This window comes from Homo sapiens, chromosome 13, assembly GCF_000001405.40.
Source record: "Homo sapiens chromosome 13, GRCh38.p14 Primary Assembly".
Lineage (NCBI taxonomy): Eukaryota > Metazoa > Chordata > Mammalia > Primates > Hominidae > Homo > Homo sapiens.
In genome coordinates, this window is record NC_000013.11 from 50,317,696 (window position 1) to 50,336,979 (window position 19,284).

The window sequence follows — 19,284 nt, forward strand, 5'->3', positions numbered from 1 at the left end:
GTAGAAAAAAAAAATGACACAGATCTTACATTTTTGGATAGTTGGTTTTGAGCTGTGATTTTTAGGTTGAAATTTTAATTAGCTTATATTTGGTATAAAATCAAAATTCACCATATTTACAAATTTAATTTATCAGATATATAAGAATTACTTTAAGTACAGAGGAAAATTTGTTGGATAAATACAATTGCAATACTTAAAAAGTATACTGAATATGTTAAATTTATAAATTTAGTTGTAACACTTGAACATTAAGAATCAATATTATCCAAAGAGCTCTTAAAAGTGATTGTTAAAATCTGCTACAGTTACCAATAAAATAATACTTGTAAGCTGAACTTAAAAGTTTAAGGAATAATCAAGTTTCTGTATTCTTTTTTAAATGTGTGACAGGCGTTCAGAGGATCATTTAGAATCCTTGGTTCATAACACATTCTCATCATTGGTCCATTCTTGGTATTTATTTGGTTGGTAACTTTAATAAAATTAACTCACTTACTATTAATTTTTATATCCAAAGTAAACTCTGAATAGTCTTTTCTTTATTCCAAAACTGTCTGTGAGCCCATAAAAATCTCACATATTCATAGGATGAAGGTGGGATGTGGAAAGGGTCTAAAATGTGTTTTCGTGAATAAAAATGATTGTTTAGAAATAGTAGCATTTAGCCTAGTTATTAAAGACAGGACATTTGAGTAATTTAAAAAAATAGATGAAATGGAAAAACACTCACCCAATAAGGTTTCTATTGTAAAAAGGCCAAAGGGAACGACATTCAGAATAAAAAGTCTTATACTTGGAAGTGAACAGATAACTAAATTTAATGAGATGGTCTGGGACACATAGGAACCCTCAAAATGTTACTAGAAGGTTATGGTGAGCCTAGAATATTGAGGGGTGAGTTTGGGCCATCTAGGTGAAAATGTCAGCTAGACAGTCATAGATATAATACTAGCACTCTCGGGGAAATTGGAATTGAGAACACAATGTGGGAACCACCAGCTTAGAGGCAAGAGCTGAAGCTCTGAAGATAGTGAAGGCCTCCCTGGGGGAGATGGGAAGAGAGGAATGAAGGCAGAAGAAAAGTTGTTTTTCTTTCAAATCCTCTATATTTTATATTATTCCCTGCTTCCTTTTCCTCCTGCTTCCTGGGTTGGGATGGGGATATCTCCTCTTGGCTTATAAAATTATCTAGAGACCAGGAGCCACCTTGTAGAGTAGGGGTCCCCAACCTCTGGGCCATGGACCAGTACCAGTCCATGGTCTGTTAGCAACAGGGCCGCACAGCAGGAGGTGAATAGCAGGCGAGTGAGTGAAGCTTCATTTGTATTTACAACCACGCCCCATCACTCCCATTACCCTCTGAGCTCAGCCTCCTGTCAGATCAGTGGTGGCTTTAGATTCTCACAGGAGTGTGAACCCTATGGTGAATGGTGCATGCAAGGGATCTAGATTGCGTGCTCTTTATGAGAATCTAGTGCATAATGATCTGTCACTGTCTCCTATCACCCCCAGGTGGGACTGTTTAGTTGCAGGAAAACAAGCTCAGGGCTCCCATTGATTCTACATGATAAAGAGTTGTATACTTCATTATATATTACAATCTAATAATAATATAAATAAATTGCACAGTAAGTGTAATGCGCTTGTATCATCCTGAACCATCCCCCTCCACTCTGTGTCTGTGGAAAAGTTGTCCTCCATGAAACCAGTCCCTGGTATCAAAAATGTTGGGGATCACTGTTGTAGAGGACACAGAGAGGTTATTTTGAGAACCCCAAAGCTGTTACAAACACACCCAATAGACAGCACACCTATATAACTATAGGTATTCAAGGGCAGTTACTACAAGACAAGTTTTCAGGACCAACTTTTCATCTTTGAGCGGATGCACAGTCCGGACTGGTTTTCTTCCGTAAGAGAGAAAGAGGGAGAGCAAAAGTGAGAACTTTTGGGGCAGGGAGGAAAAGTCAAAGGGGGATGGTCAGGTTCAAGCATGAGGCCCTTGGAGACTGCTGGCCAGGGGTGCTGCAGAGTCACCGTTTCTATTGTGTAAACTTTCCTATGCTGACAGATTGCCTGGTGTGATAACTTCACTCTTGTGTGCAAATACTCTTCCTTAAAGACACATAGAGAAAAGCTGGCCAAGACCCAAGAAATGGCTGTAGAAAGATATTCATTCTCAGGGCATTTCTGAAAACACATTTTCTCTACATTTTCAGCTTTCAAATTGTATAAATTTTCTCTTGACTTCTGACTCAAAAATCTTCTCAAACCAGGCATGTCAGTTTCTTAATTAAAAATGGTGTCTTAGTCTGTGAGGCCTACCATAACAACATACCACAGACTGTGTGGCTTAAACCACAAAATGTATTTTCTCACAATTCTGGAGGCTCGAAGTCTAAGATTAAGGTGTCTGCAGATTTGGTTTCATCTGAGGCTTCTGTCCTTGGCTTGCAGATGGCTGCCTTCTTGTTGTGTCTTCACAGGGCCTTTTTCTCTGTGCCTGAGTATCCCTGGTATCTTTTCTTTTTGTAAGGACACCAGTCCCAATGTATTAGGGCCCATTGTTTTGATCTCTTTAACCTTATTTACCTCTTTAAAGGTCCCATCTCCAAATATAGTCACATTGGGGATTTGAGCTTCAGTATATGAATTTGTGTGTGTCTGTGAGGGGGGAAATAATTCAGTCCATAATAAATAGTAAGCTGAGATTTGTCTACTATGGACTCCCTGTCACACAGTAAGTACTTAGCAAATATTTGTAGAATGAGTCAGGCTGTGACTGGGTAACTCATTTATCAATGTGCTGCCATATTTTTTAAAGTCTCATAAACCTTAGTCAATTAAATAAATTTTTCATTTTGCAAGAGTTGGTAATGATGGCCTAGTAACTTTATAAATGGGCTAAAATCAATATACTTATCTTTAACATGAGCCCTAGAGGGTCAGATCAAGCCATAGTGCAAGACCCTAGTATAATTCCTTTCCTTTACTGAAGTGTTACGCTGGAACAACATTGCAGTGAAGGTTTAAAACTAAATATTGAAGATGAGGTGGTTTTGCAAACTTTCTGGATGATGTGTGTTAAGAGGCACAGAAGGCAAGCATCTTGCTCCCTTCTTACAAAGAAACAGAAGTGGTGAAGTAACTTGCCTAAGGTCTCATGCAGGTGAGTACCAGAACTGGGATTAGAATTCAGTCTTGTGTCACTCCAGGGTGCTGTTTTTTTTCTTTTTTTGATGTGCTTCTTGTTTAGCCCATTTAGCTAGTGAATGTGAAGATTCAAGGAGAAAAGGCTTTTCCTTCTGACATTGAAGTACCTAAACTCTTTAGAAAATCTACTCAGGTGCATTTCATAAATTGATTACAGATGAAGTCCAATAGTAACATTGTTTATATTTGTGAAATCTACCATACTTGTCAGTTTCTAGTTTACAGATTATATAAGGAAATCACTTACATCCAAAATACAATCTTTGCCAGTACACCAGCACAACCTCTTGGGAATCTTGAACTACACATATACTGAATTGATACTGCAAATCAAGTCATTTGCCCAAATGGAAGGATTTAGGGATAAATTCAGCCAACAGTTACATGCTCAGATTCAAGAATCTGAAATAACCACTATATTGTATAGCTAAAAATAAAGCAGTTTGCACAACACTTGGCATTTTCAGTTGACCTAGTCAATACTAGCTAATAATTTTTATAATTCTTGAGTGAAGTGAGTTTTTTCTTTATTTTACATGTACAACTGGAATCCTGAAAAGTTAATAGATTATCTTTTACCTAAGTGCTACAGTAGGTAAGGTAGTATTGATAGTCTTTTACTGAATCTACAAATATTTTTTTCTTGAACATGACATAATTTCTTTTAACAGTTTTATTGAGACATAACCAACAAACAATAAACTGCACATACATATAGTGTACAATTTGATGTTTTAACATATGTATATTCTTATTAAAACTACCACCACAATCAAGCTAATAAACCCACTACTCCTAAAAGTTTTCTTGGGTCCTTTTGAAATTCCTCTTTCCTAGGTAACCATTGATCTTTTTTTCTGTAACTACACATTAACTTGCATTTTCTAGGATTTTATATAAAGTGAAACATACAGCATGTAATCTTTAAAAAAATCTCTTTTCTTTCAGTCAGAATACTTACTTTGAGACTCATCAATGCTGTTGAATATATCAATAATTCACTCCTTTTTATTGTGGAGTAATATTCTATTGTATGATTATATCACAATTTCTTTATCCATTCACTTAATTATGGGCATTTGGGCTGTTTCCAGTTTTTTGCTGTTACAAAAAAAAAAACGCAGCTATGAATATTTCTGTACAAGCCTGTATATGAACATATTTATTTTCCTCTTAGGTAAAAACCTATGAGTGGAATGGCTGGAACATATGGCAGGCGCATGTGTAACATTTTTGAAATTGTCAAACTGTTTTCTAAAGTGATTGTGCCATTTTACATTCACACCAACAGTGTATGAGAGTTCCAGTTGCTTCACTTCCTTAACATCGCTGGGTGTGGTCAGTTTTCTAAATTTTAGCCATCCTAATAGATTTGACTTCATGCTTTATTGTGGTTTTCATTTGCATTTCCCCAAAGACTAATTATGTTGAACATCTTTACATGTGCTTATTTCCAATTGTCTACCTTTGGTGAGGTGTCTATTTGAATGTTTTATTTTTTTAATTGTTTTTATGTTTTCTTCTTAATGAGTTTTAAAATTTGTTCTTTGTGAGATATGTAGTTTATAAATATTTTCTCCTAGTTTTTGCTTGTCTTCTTATTCTCTTGTCAAAATTAAAAGCTTCTGCTCTTCAAAAGTCTATTGAGTTTCAAATTATCAATTTTTTTCTTTTATGGGTTGTTCATTTGGTGTTATATCTAAGAAATCTTTACCTATCCTGGGATCAGAGAGATTCTCTAACAGAAGTTTTATAATTTTAGGTTTTACATTTAGGTCTATATTTCATTTTGAATTAGTTTTTATATACAATTTAAAGTATGGATCAATGTTTATATTTTTGCATGTGGATATACAATTTTTCCAGCACAATTTATAGAAAAGCTTATTATTACTTCCCTGACTTACCTTTGTACTTCTAGCAAAAATCAATTGTTTGTATATGTGTGGACCTATTTATGGACCCTCTATTTTGCTCCACTGATCTATTTGTCTATCCTTATGCCAGTGCCACACTGTATTGATAACTGTAGTTCTATAATAAGACTTGAAATCAAGGCATGTAAGCCCTCCAGTGTTGTTCTTTTTTCAAAGTTTCTTCAGTATTCGAGGTCTTTTGCATTTCCATATGAATTTTAGAATTAAATTCTCAATTTTTATGGAAAAATTTACTTTTGACTATTGAAAAATTGAATTTTGATTGAGATTGTGTCAAATCTTTATAGATCAGTTTGGAGAAAATAGACATCTTAGCAAAATTGAGTCTTCTGAGGTTGCTCATAACCTACCTTATTGGACACAACAAGAAAGAATGGCACTGCCAATGCTGTGCAGCCCCCACTCTGCCCTTAGTATGTCACATGTGGCATCTGATGTTCAGGCTGAGCAAAATGTCAGTGTCAAGTCATATAATAAATTAGTCACAAATGAGCTTAATTCCTTGCCTTCTAAAAATAAAAATAAAGAGAAGATTAAGTTATAGTATTTTCTTCCTATACCCCAGTGTATAATTTTTTCCCGACTAAGTAGACCACTAGTAAAATGCCTTTCTACCTCTAAGATGCTAGAATAGAAAAAAAATATTGTTCCCTGCTCATCCCAATGATCAAAATTACCTTGTATTTTGTGATGACTGCTTTGGATTTCCAAGGCAGTAGCCACCATGTCTCACCTCATGCCCTGCATGACTTAAGGGAAAGAAGAGATCATAGACAACATCTGGCTGTCTAGTAAGTAGAGCTTGACAGTGTCAGAAACAAGATGCGATGCAGCTATTACTTTGTTAGCTATAGTGCTCTGATTGTTATTTGTTGATGAAAGCTGTGGGAAGAAATGGCAATGCATATAAACAGGAGAAATTTAGTTATAATTTATGCTTCTTTAGAAAATGCCAGCAGCAAACATCATTTCCAAAGCATTCAAACCACCTATGACTAATCACAGGATGACCAATGTTCCCCTTGTGACGTGGTAATCAAGTGCGTTGAAGACATTCCACCTAATTTTGAGCATTTTAAGCAGTATGATGCCATGATTCAGATTTTCCTATTGCAGGTGTCCACAATATTTCCAAATTTATGATATTTTGGAGCCTATGCATTTTTCCCTATGGGCATTGATGACCCACACTGAGTAGAATGAGCAATGTGGGTGTTGGATTGCTGGGCAATTCTTATGCTCCCTGGAGGGATCCCTTTCTCAATTGCCACGGCAGCTATTCCAAACCTTTACATTCATTAACATCCAATAAATATTGATGGAAGCCTTCTCCATAACAGAAACTGTACTCCCACCTTCTACCTATGTTTTCTTCATTTTTAGCAGATAAATCAAATTTTTAACTTTTCAACTACACTTTCTCTTTCTACTTCCAAATGTGCCCATTGTCTCACATCTTTTTACTTCTATCCTTTCTATCTCTCAAGAAGACGCATCCTTCTCAAATACATCCTCACCCCCTATTCTCATTCTGGCTGATCTCCTGTGTCTCTAGGAACTTTGTTCAGATATTCTGCTTCCTCTTATTTTCCATCTTTTCAACTGGACCCATCTTTCCAGATTGCAAATCTGATAGTATCTCCCCGCCAGCCTCCCCACTCCCACACACTAAACCCTGCAGTGGTCACTAGTACTCTTAGGATATATTGAGAAAAAATTATTCCATTTGGCCTCCAAAGCCCTACATAGTCTGGCTTCTGCCTGCCTCCCCATTCTTACTTTTTTTTTTTTAGACAGAGTCTCACTTTGTTGCCCGGGCCAGAGAGAGTGCAGTGGCACTATCTCGGCTCATTGTGACCTCCACCTCCGTGGTTCAAGAGATTCTCGTGCCTCAGCCTCCTGAGTAGCTGGGATTACAGGCGTGCACCACCACGCCCAGCTAATTTTTGTATTTTTAGTAGAGACAGGGTTTTGCCATGTTGGCCAGCTGGTCTCAAACTCCTGCTCTCAAGTGATCTGCCTGCTTCAGCCTCCCAAAGTGCTGGGAGTACAGGCATGAGCCGCCATGCGCAGCCTCCATTCTTATTTTCACTCATTCCTCCTCTCTCTGCTCTACACATACTGGATTTTCAATCCCTGAAACACATCTTGGGGTTTCTCCTATCACAGGGCCTTGCACAAGCTCTTCCCTCTTTACTTAAGTTCCACTCATCTTTGCTGTCTTACTTAAGCATAATTTCTGTAGGAAAACCTTCCCTGACAAGTTGTTATTCTGCCAGTTTTTTCCCTGTAGACTCCCATGGCTTGATTTATGTCTTATTCTTAGAATTTGCCATAATTGACATATTCTATTTAGTGAGAATGATTATTTGATTAACATCTGTCTCCCTCACGAAGGTATAAGCTTCAGGAGGGCAGAGGCTTGTCTTGTTGTGCCCACCACTTAATAACAGAGGCTGGGCCAGGTGCAGTGGCTCACACCTGTAATCCCAGCACTTTGGGAGGGTGAGGCAGGAGGATTGCTTGAGGTCAGGAGTTAAAAGACCAGCCTGGCCAACATGATGAAATCCCATCTCTACTAAAAATACAAAAATTAGCTGGGCGTGGTGGTGCCTGCCTGTAATCCCAGCTACTCAGGAGGCTGAGGCACATTTTCTTCCTTCACTTTTTTCTCTTACTACTCTTCTCTCTTCCTTCTTTGTTTTGTTTACTATCTTTTTTCTCTCTTTTTATCACTTTATCTAATAAATACTTATTGGGCAAATGAATGAAATGCTAGTCTTCCTGAGGGTTTTCTGGTTTTTGACTTTTTTTTCTCTTTTTCGTCTGCCTCCTTTTCCTTAGTAATCTTATCCAACACCATGGCTTCACCACCATCCATATCCATAATGCCCCATGATGTCCAGACCTGTATTTTCAACTGATTATCTTCCTGGAATTGTCCTCTAGTTACTTAAACTCAACCTAACTCAAACCAAAGTGGTTATCTTCCTTAAATATTTTTCTTCTGCTTAATCCTACCCTTTGTAAAGTTTGCCACTACCCATTTCAAACGGCTTAAACCCAAAACCTAAGGTCATTTTTCTTCCTTTTCCACAAATACCAAATTCTGTTGATGCAAATGAAATGTCCCTTTCCAAAATCCCCACTTATATGCCCCTAAGTACTATTGCCTAGTTTTGTTCTTCTCTAACTTTTCCAGAAGGAGAACTCTTTTATGTAAGAGGAATATGTAAAAATTATGACATGAGGTGGACGGAAGGGAGCTGCTCTAGCTGAAGGTGGGAGAAGGGATCTGAAAGCAATCCCTTGCCCACTGAGGCAGTACCAGAAGTTGGTATAGTTTGAAAGCTACTAGCCTACGTTACTGCAACACCCTTTAAAAAAACTGCTTTTACATTTTTTTTCACATGTAAAACACAGAAATAATAGAGATTTATGAAATATCTACTATGGGCTAGGCATTGTAGCAGGTGCTGTGAATATAATGGTGATTGAAATCAATATAGCCCCTGCTCTCAAGGAGGTTATATCTAACAGGGATGGCAGAGAGAAAAAAAGCAATTATAACCAAGTGAAGTAAGTGCTATGATGTGGGTGGCAAGGAGCTGCGGGCTATGTAGGAGAAGACCTAATGTAGTGCAGGGACAGGTTGGGGGTGGACCACGGGTAGCTTCCTACAGGAAGAGACTGTTAGGCTAGGACCTAAAAGATGAGTTGGAGTTCAGCAGGTGAAGAGAAGAGAAGACTGTTTCAGGCAGAGGAAACAGCACTGTTGGTTGTTCCAAGGGAGCTAGCTCAGCACTGTAGGGAGAGGAGCGGGAGTGTAGAGTGAGTATTCACGTCAGGGCTCATCTTTAGCTTAAAAAGAACCAGGGAACTCTGGAGAGTCTAGTTCAGAGTATAATGCTTTCTCCATCCCTTTCTTGCCCCGTCCTGCCTGGTTTCTTCTTTCGGCTTTGGTACTCATTGGGATTAGTTCCTCACTGCCAAGCTTGAAGCCAATAATTTGATCTGAAGCAGACGACTTTCAGCAAACCACCGGAAGCCTCCCTGCTCCCCATCTCCATGCGACAACCTCAAATAATTCAGAGCTGTGTAAACCTTGAAACCACCTAAGCCCCACCCAGAGACCTCATAACTCTTAAAAAATTCTTCCTCAAACAGAGGAATTTCGTAGGCTTGTTTGATCTTTTTATGTTGCTGTTTTCAGGATATAACTTTTCTCTTTTCCTCTCAAGCCCGGGCTCTAGGCAGTTATCCAAGAGAAGAGAGGTCTGGAGACTTCAGCCTGTCTCAGGGCACACATCAAGGCAGAGATGAAAATATAGGTGAATAGTCTGGGATATCTTTATGAACACTTCTCAGATGACTTGGCTGAAATCTTTCTCTTACATCAGAACTCAATGGTTTTAACAACACAGTTTGATAAAAAACATTTTCTTTAGCAGTCATGTTACAGTAATTAACATGTAACCTTGGGAACTCTATACGTGATTTAATTCCTCTCTGAACCAATTTTTCCTAGTTTTGTAGACATATCTTGGGTTTCTTTCCAGGTACAAGAAGAGTTTTAAGAATGATGGCCATATGGATTTTCTGTTTAGCAGAATTCTCTATATTTTGAGTATCTTTACCCAAAGGTTAGTATTAGACAGACAGTGAAATGAAAATTAAAATGGAAATAATAGTACAATAGGCCTGCATGTTCTTATCTGAAACTTTTGTGGCCAGATATATTTAATAATTCAAAATATCTGAGATATTAGAAAGATAATATGGTGCCTATATTACATAATATTATAGGTGGGGTCTGGAGTGTGATCACGCATAACATGTCTGATACGGAATATCTGAATATCCACACTGCATAGCATAGCCTCACGTTAGTTCACCAAATGAACTTTGGTGCCACACTTAACAAAAATACCTTAGTTTCCGAAGCATTTTGGATTTTGGAATTGCTGAGAAGTAATTGTATACCTGTCCTTGTCTTGCTTCACTGAGAGAGTTGCTGTATCAAGGGTGTTTAATCAGAAAAATGTTATTTCATCATAAAATGTTATTTTATAGCCTAGCCTAACAGCATTGGAGAATCTTTGTCCCCCTTTTTTTTTTCGGCACATGTCTGTTTGCAAAATCTTTTTTGGTTATAATTAAAGTAATTCCTCTATTGGAAGTTCAATATACTATTCTATGATCTGAGTCATTATTTTACTTTCAGTCCACCAGCTGCTGTTTGCCAAGCTGATTGGCTTTCCAATATATATTTCATTTACTATAGGTTGCAGGGGTATCTCTTTCCAGATGATCTATTGGACATAGTCCTTTATGCCTCTATTACTTGTTTTGAGAAACTTTTCCTAAGTTAGTTGTTTAGTTGACTGTGTTGGTCCGGTGGGCATCTCAGATTTATTTGTCTAGAAACTATGCTACCTGGAGGCATAGAAAGAGTAAAGTACTTGGAATACCCAGAACTCCTGGATTTGCATTTCATTTCTGCTTCTTTCTAGCTATGGTGGTGATGGCTTACAATCCATTGAACTTGTCTGAGCTTTAATTTCTCAACTTCAAAATGGGGATTAATAATAACAGCTTTTGCTACTTCTCAGGCATAATGTGAAGTAAAATGAGAAGAGGTTGGTGCAAACAAGAAGATACAGTGCAATTCACATTCAACGAAAGGGAACGGTCTAAATGCAAGGTCTATATGCACTTAAGGTGTTTTTATTGATAAATATTGGGTTACATGGCTTTACTTCTGCTCAGATCTGGATAGGGACCATTTATTGAGTGGCTGCTGTATCAGGAACCACAGGAGGCAACCTCGATTAATCCCAGTAAAACCCCTTTGAGGTGGCTGCCATCATTCTCTATTTGAGAGAGGATAGAGACCTGACCAAGGTCACATCACCACTTAGCGCCTGAGCCAGATTGAAAACCAGATTTGTTTGATGGTAAAGTCAGCACTCCATTTTAATTGCAAAGACTATTGTGCAATGGTGAATGTTTTGTGGTGTTTTTTTGTGTGTTTTGAAAATTGAGAACAAGATGGGATTCATAACAAATTAGATAGTTCACTTTTCTTATATGTAAATTCCAGACAGTAGCAATAAATCACACACTTTGGATGCTCAGGGGAAATTAGTTATAATTTAATGCTTTGGAAAATCATTATTTATCCCCCTTTGTGGTAGAATTTATTCTCAACATCCTTATAAATAAACAAAATGTTTTACTAGCTAAAAAAATTACCAATCCATTCTTTCTTCACAAGGCATGGAGACAGTAGAACAACGGCATTTTTCTTTACTATCCTCTTGGCCTAATTGTTCGCTTGTCCTGAATCAGTTACTGAACTGAGAAACCCAGGTAAGCTTCCCATAGCATTCTCCTTTCTTATTTCTAGTATTTGGTTCAGTCCGCGATACTCTTTTAGCCATCGGTGACTGCTCTTACTGAGACTGTGGCTGTCCTCGCCCAGAGTTGAGGTAGGGGTAGGTTGGGGATGGGAGACTCACTACTAAGCACTGTGGAGTCTATTTGAGTCCCTGGCAGTATCTGTCCGATATGGTCTGGCTCTGTATCCCCATCCAAATCTCATCTCAAATTTTAATACCCGTGTGTCAAGGGAGGGACCTGTAATCCCCACGTGTCAAGGGAGGGAGGTGATTGGGTCATGGGGACAGTTAACCCCATGGTGTTCTCGTGATAGTGAGTGAGTTCTCACGAGATCTGATGGTTTTGTAAGGCAGTTTTCCCTGCTCTTGTTTACTCTCTCTCAGCAGCATCATGTAAGATGTGCCTGCTCCCCCTTCCGCCATGATTGTAAGTTTCCCGAGGCCTCCTCAGCCATGTGGAACTGTGAGTCAATTAAATCTCTTTTCCTTATGAATTACCCAGTCTTGGGTATGTCTTTATAGCAGTGTGAAAATAAATGAATACACTGTCTATCTGTCTGTCTCTCTCTCTGTTATTTAAGATCAGAACAGGACTTACTGTATGACAGAAACACAGCTGAAGGGGTGTTAGAAAGTCCGGAGCTTATGAAGACGTTCCCTGACCTCTCCTTTTGTTAACTGGGGCTTCATTCCAGAGAATAAGAGCTTCTTTATGGGTTCAGACACTTCTGGCTGCAATTAGCCGATTGTTAATTTATGTCTGAGTGTTGGAGGCTTTAGTTAGATAAAATATTTAAAGGATTTAGTCTCAGTGAAAAGAACTTTAAGTAAGAATGGCTTTGAGGAAAAGAGAAAAGTTAGATTCCAGCTTTCCTTCTGGGTGCTGACTATGGTGAGTGGGGAAGTAGGTTATGAGATAATAAGAGCTTTATTGTCAATTTTTGCATTCTTTTAGAGGCCCCCACGACTTTAGATTTCCTTAATATCTTTCTCCCTTTATAGTTAATTTAAAAAAATATTGAGCACTTTATATGTGTCCACGCATTCTATTGCCCTGGAGCAAACTCTAGTGATCAGCACGTCCATAATCCTTGCTCTTATGGAACTCACAGTCTAGTGGGGAACTACACAAAAACACTGCAAAGTTGTAACCAATGTTTATGGTTTATGGTGTTATGAGCGTTGAGGTTGTTAGGGAAGACTGTTTTTGTGTGATGCATTCATCAGTGTTGGGGTTGCTATAGCCCATTTTTTTGTGGCTATCAGCTTTAGGTACTTTTATTAGGTCTTAAAAAGAATATTCTAGTAATTAATCATATAGATTGTAGATGGGTTGCTGGATTGCATTGATTTTTAAACAGATATATATACACACACACATACATGGAAGCACACATACATATAAGTATATATATCTGTGTATATGTTACATGTGTATATATATATGTATATACATATATATGGGTGTGTGATTACATAAGCAATGTAAAGTGATTGTAGAGAATTTGGAATATCATAAAACTACAAAAAAATTAAACTTACCCGGAAATAATTAATGTCTATCTACATACCTATCTCTAGTCTTTTTTTCTAGACATACATAGATTTAAAAATATAATTTGGATCATATTGCAAAGATGAGTTTGCATTTTCATTGAATCACGACCATTTCTCTTGTCATAAAATAATCTTTAAAGGAAATTTTTTTACTTCATTATACTCTATATTTCTATCAGAATTTATGTAATTATTCCTTTATTGAACACTAGTAATGTGTCCCATTTGCTACTATAAATAATGCTGTGAAGTGCAAGTTTCTATAGTTTATGACAATTTTCTTTTTTCTTCTTTTTTTTCTTTTGAAACATTTTATTTTTTTCGACTCTTTTTTTATTTTATTTTATTATTATTATACTTTAAGTTTTAGGGTACACGTGCACAATGTGCAGGTTAGTTACATATGTATACATGTGCCATGCTGGTGTGCTGCACCCATTAACTCGTCATTTAGCATTAGGTATATCTCCTAAAGCTATCCCTCCCCGCTCCCCCGACCCCACAACAGTCCCCAGAGTGTGATATTCCCCTTCCTGTGTCCATGTGTTCTCATTGTTCAATTCCCACCTATGAGTGAGAATATGCGGTGTTTGGTTTTTTGTTCTTGTGATAGTTTACTGAGAATGATGATTTCCAATTTCATTCATGTCCCTACAAAGGACATGAACTCATCATTTTTTATGGCTGCATAGTATTCCATGGTGTATATGTGCCACATTTTCTTAATCCAGTCTATCATTGTTGGACATTTGGGTTGGTTCCAAGTCTTTGCTATTGTGAATAGTGCCGCAATAAACATACGTGTGCATGTGTCTTTATAGCAGCATGATTTATAGTCCTTTGGGTATATGCCCAGTAATGGGATGGCTGGGTCAAATGGTATTTCTAGTTCTAGATCCCTGAGGAATCGCCACACTGACTTCCACAAAGGTTGAACTAGTTTACAGTCCCACCAACAGTGTAAAAGTGTTCCTATTTCTCCACATCCTCTCCAGCACCTGTTGTTTCCTGACTTTTTAATGATTGCCATTCTAACTGGTGTGAGATGGTATCTCACTGTGGTTTTGATTTGCATTTCTCTGATGGCCAGTGATGGTGAGCATTTTTTCATGTGTCTTTTGGCTGCATAAATGTCTTCTTTTGAGAAGTGTCTGTTCACGTCCTTTGCCCACTTTTTGATGGGGTTTTTGTTTTTTTCTTGTAAATTTGTTTGAGTTCATTGTAGATTCTGGATATTAGCCCTTTGTCAGATGAGTAGGTTGTGAAAATTTTCTCCCATTTTGTAGGTTGCCTGTTCACTCTGATGGTAGTTTCTTTTGCTGTGCAGAAGCTCTTTAGTTTAATTAGATCCCATTTGTCGATTGTTTATGACAATTTTCTTAGGCTAGATTTTGAGAAGAAAAATAACAGGGTCAAAGGGAGTGAAATTTTAAGGCTTGTGATATGTATTGCAAAATTGCTTTCCAAATAGGTAATATAAATCTAGCTCCCATTAGCAAAGTACGAGAGTGATTATTTTATTGGTTACCCTGTCATTGCTGAATATGATTATTGTTAATTAGATGGTTGAAAAATATTATCTTCTTTTTATTTCTATTCTGGTCTACTAGTGGAATTAAATTCTTTTTTTTTTTTCTTTGAGACAGTCTCTCTCTGTCACCAGGCTGGAGTGCAGTGGCGCAATCTCGGCTTACTGCAACCTCCGCTGCCCAGATTCAAGCGATTCTCCTACCTCAGCCTCCTGAGTAGCTAATTAAATTCTTTTTTATACAGTTATTAGTAATTAGTACTTTTTTAATGAATCTCAGTTTATGTTCTTTGCTCGTTTCTTTATTATGGTTTTTAGTACTTGTTTCATAAAAACTTTTTATTTATTAAGGATGCCAATAATTTGTCATATGCAAAGTTTTCCGAGTTATTTAACAGAAGTTTCTAATTTGTATGTAATTAGATCTACTTGTCTTTTCTTTTTGATTTCTAGCTTTTATATGCTCAGAAAGTCCCTATCCTATTAATCAGATATTTTGTCTATGTGTTTGAAAGCTAGATGAATTTTTAATATGGTGCCCATAAGATACTTCAGCAACCTGGTGCAGTGCCTAATAAATACGGCACTTGGGGACATGATGTGTGGTTACTAGAAGTTTGCCTAATAGTTAGATCTCAATAGTCATTGGTCACTGGGATGAATATTCATTAAACCATGTTTTGAAAGAGGAATAAATATTACCCAGTCAAACAAAAGGGAGAAGAATCTTCCAGATAAGGGACCCATGACATGAAAGGGTACAGAGGGAAGAAACCAAAACCATGATGTGCAAGGAATGCCTGCAGCAGGAGCTCAGCATACATGGTAGGGAAGGTGTTAGTTAGGCATGGCCAGATCATGCAATTTTCAGGCCATGATGAGAAACTTAATTTTACATAATAAAAAATGAGAAATCATTACAGGGGTTTAAGTAAGAAAGTGATGTGGGCCATATTGACATTGGGAAATTTAGGTACATTACTTCAGTTTACTAAAAATAGTGGAGAAGAGAATTGGAGTAGATGAGATTTGAGTCCTGGCAATCCATTAGGGAAAAAAGCAAGTTACACTTAGCAGCATTTAACAAGTGTGGGCTGGGCATGATGGCTTACATCTGTAATCCCAGCACTTTGGGAGGCCAAGGCAGGAAGATTGCTTGACACCAGGAGTTTGAGACCAGCCTGGGCACCATAGTGAGACCCCTTCTCTACAAAAAATACAAAAAATTAGTTGGGTGCCTATAGTTCCAGCTACTTGGTAGGTTGAGGCAAGAGGATCACTTGAACCTAAGAGGTCGAGACTGCTGTGAGCTATGGTCATGCCACTTTATTCCAGCCTGGGTGAGAAAGTGAGACCCTGTCTCAAAAAAAAAAAAAAATGTGGAAGGTAGTATCATTTGAGCTAGAGAGGAATACATTCAGGAGATATTTAGATGGTAGAATTTTTCCACTTCCCCTTGATCCTCAAAGGAGGGCCAGGCTCATGCCTGTAATCCCAGCCCTTTGGGAGGCCGAGGTGGGTGGATCACCTGAGGTCAGGAGATTGAGACCAGCCTAGCCAACATGGTGAAACCCCATCTCTACCAAAAATACAAAAATTAGCTGGGTGTAGTGGGGGGCACCTGTAATCCCAGCTACTCAGGAGGCTGAGGCAGCAGAATCTCTTGAACCCGGGAGGTGGAGGTTGCAATGAGCCAAAATCATGCCATTGCACACCAGCCTGGGCGACAGAGTAAGACTCTGTCTCAACAAAACAAAACAAAACAAAACAAAACAAAACAAAACAAAACAAAACAAAAAACAAAGGACACAGCATAGCATAGAGAAAAAAAGATCTGGATTGGAAATCTGAAGCCTGGCTCCACCACCAGCACCATGATCTTTACTAGTTACCTCCCCTCTGAGGGCCTCTACTTCCTTATTTGTATAAGGACTTTCTGAACTAGATGATCTTTCAAGTGTCTGGCAGTTTTAACACTTCTGTGTTCTTGTAGTTTTAGACACCAGCTTAGTGTTTCGAAACTGTAAAATAGCCTGAGAAATCTTGTGAAAATAGGAACTTGCACTTTTCTAGGATTTTTGTTTCCTGTTTTTATAAAATTTGAGCTAGTGAGGACTAGATATCAGGATGAGCCCCTGCCTGCCTCTTGGCCAGCTTTGTAGAGGGGTTTCTGATGCCCAGAGGAGAGGCAGTTTGAGTAAGGGCAGCCGACAGCAAGCATGGAGCTCGCACACAGCTCTCTCGCCTTCCAGGCGTGGCTCAGTGGCACCATCCTTGTGGCCTCCTGTCTTGTGACCATGAGCAGACACGCTCGAATATGATGGCCATGTAGCCAACTAACTACAGCTGTTGGAAGCTCAAACCCGTGGTTCAAATCCATTGGCAATTTTGGTAAAATCTAGGGTTTGGCTCATTCAGTCTAACAATGCTCACCCGACTGTGTGGCCAGTAATTTACCAAAAACAGTATAGCTTGTTGCCATTTTCATCTTTAGTGGAGGCAGAAAAATGGAAGGATATAGAAAGAGAAATGTCTCGCCTTTCAGAAGCTCCTTGCTCTTTGGTATTTAGTTTGCTATTTTCTGTCATTTTTGTCTTGAGTCATTAGAGTTGGGTTTCTATTCTGCTGTCTGCCTTGCAATGTTATCTAAGGAATCTATAAGCAGCTTAACCCTGTCAACGGAAGATTGTACTAAAACAGCCTGTTCAGGAAGCCCTGGAATTCCACGCTTCAAGCCATTAGCTGTGTCTTGCTTACATGAAGCTTATCACGCCACCCTCAGAAAATTTCCATCTTATCATGGGCGGCATTGTAAATAATGGAAAAAACTGTCTGAAACTGTTTGAATGTTTTCTTAGATTATTTGGAAATTTCCAGCTTTGTGCACTAGACAGAAGACCTTTGACCTCTGGGATGACAGCATAAAGGCGAGGTATGCCTTCTCTTACTTAGCCAGGGAGGGCCCATAATGACTGTGCAGACACTTTCTATTATTTTTGTCATGAAGTCTCTGAATTTAGTCACCGAGCCTATGGGAAACAAATTCGCTTTAGGAAAAAAAGCTTAGCAAGAAGAATTCATTCCTCAAGTGTAACACCTTTTTTTTTTTGAGATGGAGTTTCGCTCTTATTGTCCAGGCTGGAGGGCTGGAGTGCAAATGGAATGACCTTTGCTCACTGCATCCTTGCCTCCCAGGTTCAAGCAATTCTCCTTCCTCAGCCTGTGGAGTAGCTGGGATTACAGGCACCCACCACCACGCCCAGCTAATTTTTTGGTATTTTTAGCAGAGATGGGGTTTTACCATGTTGGCTAGGCTGGTCTCAAACTCCTGACCTCAAGTGATCCGCCTGCCTTGGCCTCCCAAAGTGCTGGGATTACAGGTGTGAGCCACCGCGCCCAGCAAGTGTAACACTTTTAAAGGTCTTTTATTTATCTGCCTATAATCTTAAGAGTGAGTTTTTAATTAAATTTTGTCACTGAAAATTTATTATTCCTTTAGGAAGCAATTTTGTGGGGGGTGCTTAGGTTAATATGTAATTATATACTTAAAATTCTTCTAGGTTCATTTAAAGATAAAGTAATATATCAGTTATTACAAGATGCCAAAGGCTAAAACATGCAATTTTCTCAGTCCAGCTCACTTTTTGTTTCCAAAGCCCTTTGCGTGCATTAACAATCTTTACACATTATGAAGTCACTGTCGCCATTTAGCCCACCTTTGCATCATGGGCTAAAATGGATGCAAAGGGTTGGTTAACTCAAAGCCATGTACTTTATTCCACCTAAATTTTGTTCATTCTGTTATTCAACCTGAAATATCCTTTCCCCTCAATTTCTGCCCGTGAAAATTGTATTTGTCTCTTAAGATTCAGATCAAATATTACCTTTCCTTACCTCCTAGGGTAGATTTCTAAAGAAAAGGATCTGTGAACATTTAGGAAAGCAAGCAGTGGTCACCAGGAATTTGTGTGGATTGCTGATAAAGAAGTCATTCTGCACTAACTTCATCTCTTCTTTGGCATTATGGCTCATCTGATAAATAAATGCAATAGACATATCTTTGGATTTCAGTAAGTCTTTGATAGAGTCTCTCTTGATAGGCTTTTGGTCTATCAATAGTACAATTAGGGGGATTAGTAACTGGTTAAATGGCTAAAGCCACAAATGACTGAATAATGGCTTTTGGCCTGTGAAATATTTCCCGTGAAATGCTGGCATGCATTTGTCCTTGGCCTTGTCTTAGAGAAAAAAATTATTAATGATGAATCAGTCAGAATAGATGTAGATAATGTTGTAGTATTGAAGACCCCCCACCCCATCCCCACTGCCAATTTAGTGGTTTAAAACAATAAATATTGATTTCTCTCACACTACTTGTTCATCTTGAGATGATGGGGGCTGGATGGGTGGGGTCTTTGCTTTGGGTTATTATTGCAGTCATTATTTGGAACATCGTTGGCTGCCAAGGCCATGTGAAAAGAGATGGTGAGGAAGCCCATATGGATGCACAACCATACACACCTCAAGTGAATGGGTGTGCAAGGCGGCAGTGTGCCTGCAAGGAGAGAAATGCCATGTTTGTGAAAAGCCCTAATGACCACCACACCCATTGGGATGGAAACAAGGTGTTGGTGGATGACACAAA

The 19,284-nt window shown here is 38.4% G+C and overlaps 1 long non-coding RNA gene across 1 annotated transcript in view; it reads left to right on the forward strand.

Moving 5' to 3' along the window:
* Nucleotides 1-19,284, forward strand: part of DLEU1 (deleted in lymphocytic leukemia 1) — a 446,475-nt gene that overhangs the window by 235,527 nt on the left and 191,664 nt on the right. The gene's annotated exons all lie outside the window — the stretch shown is intronic.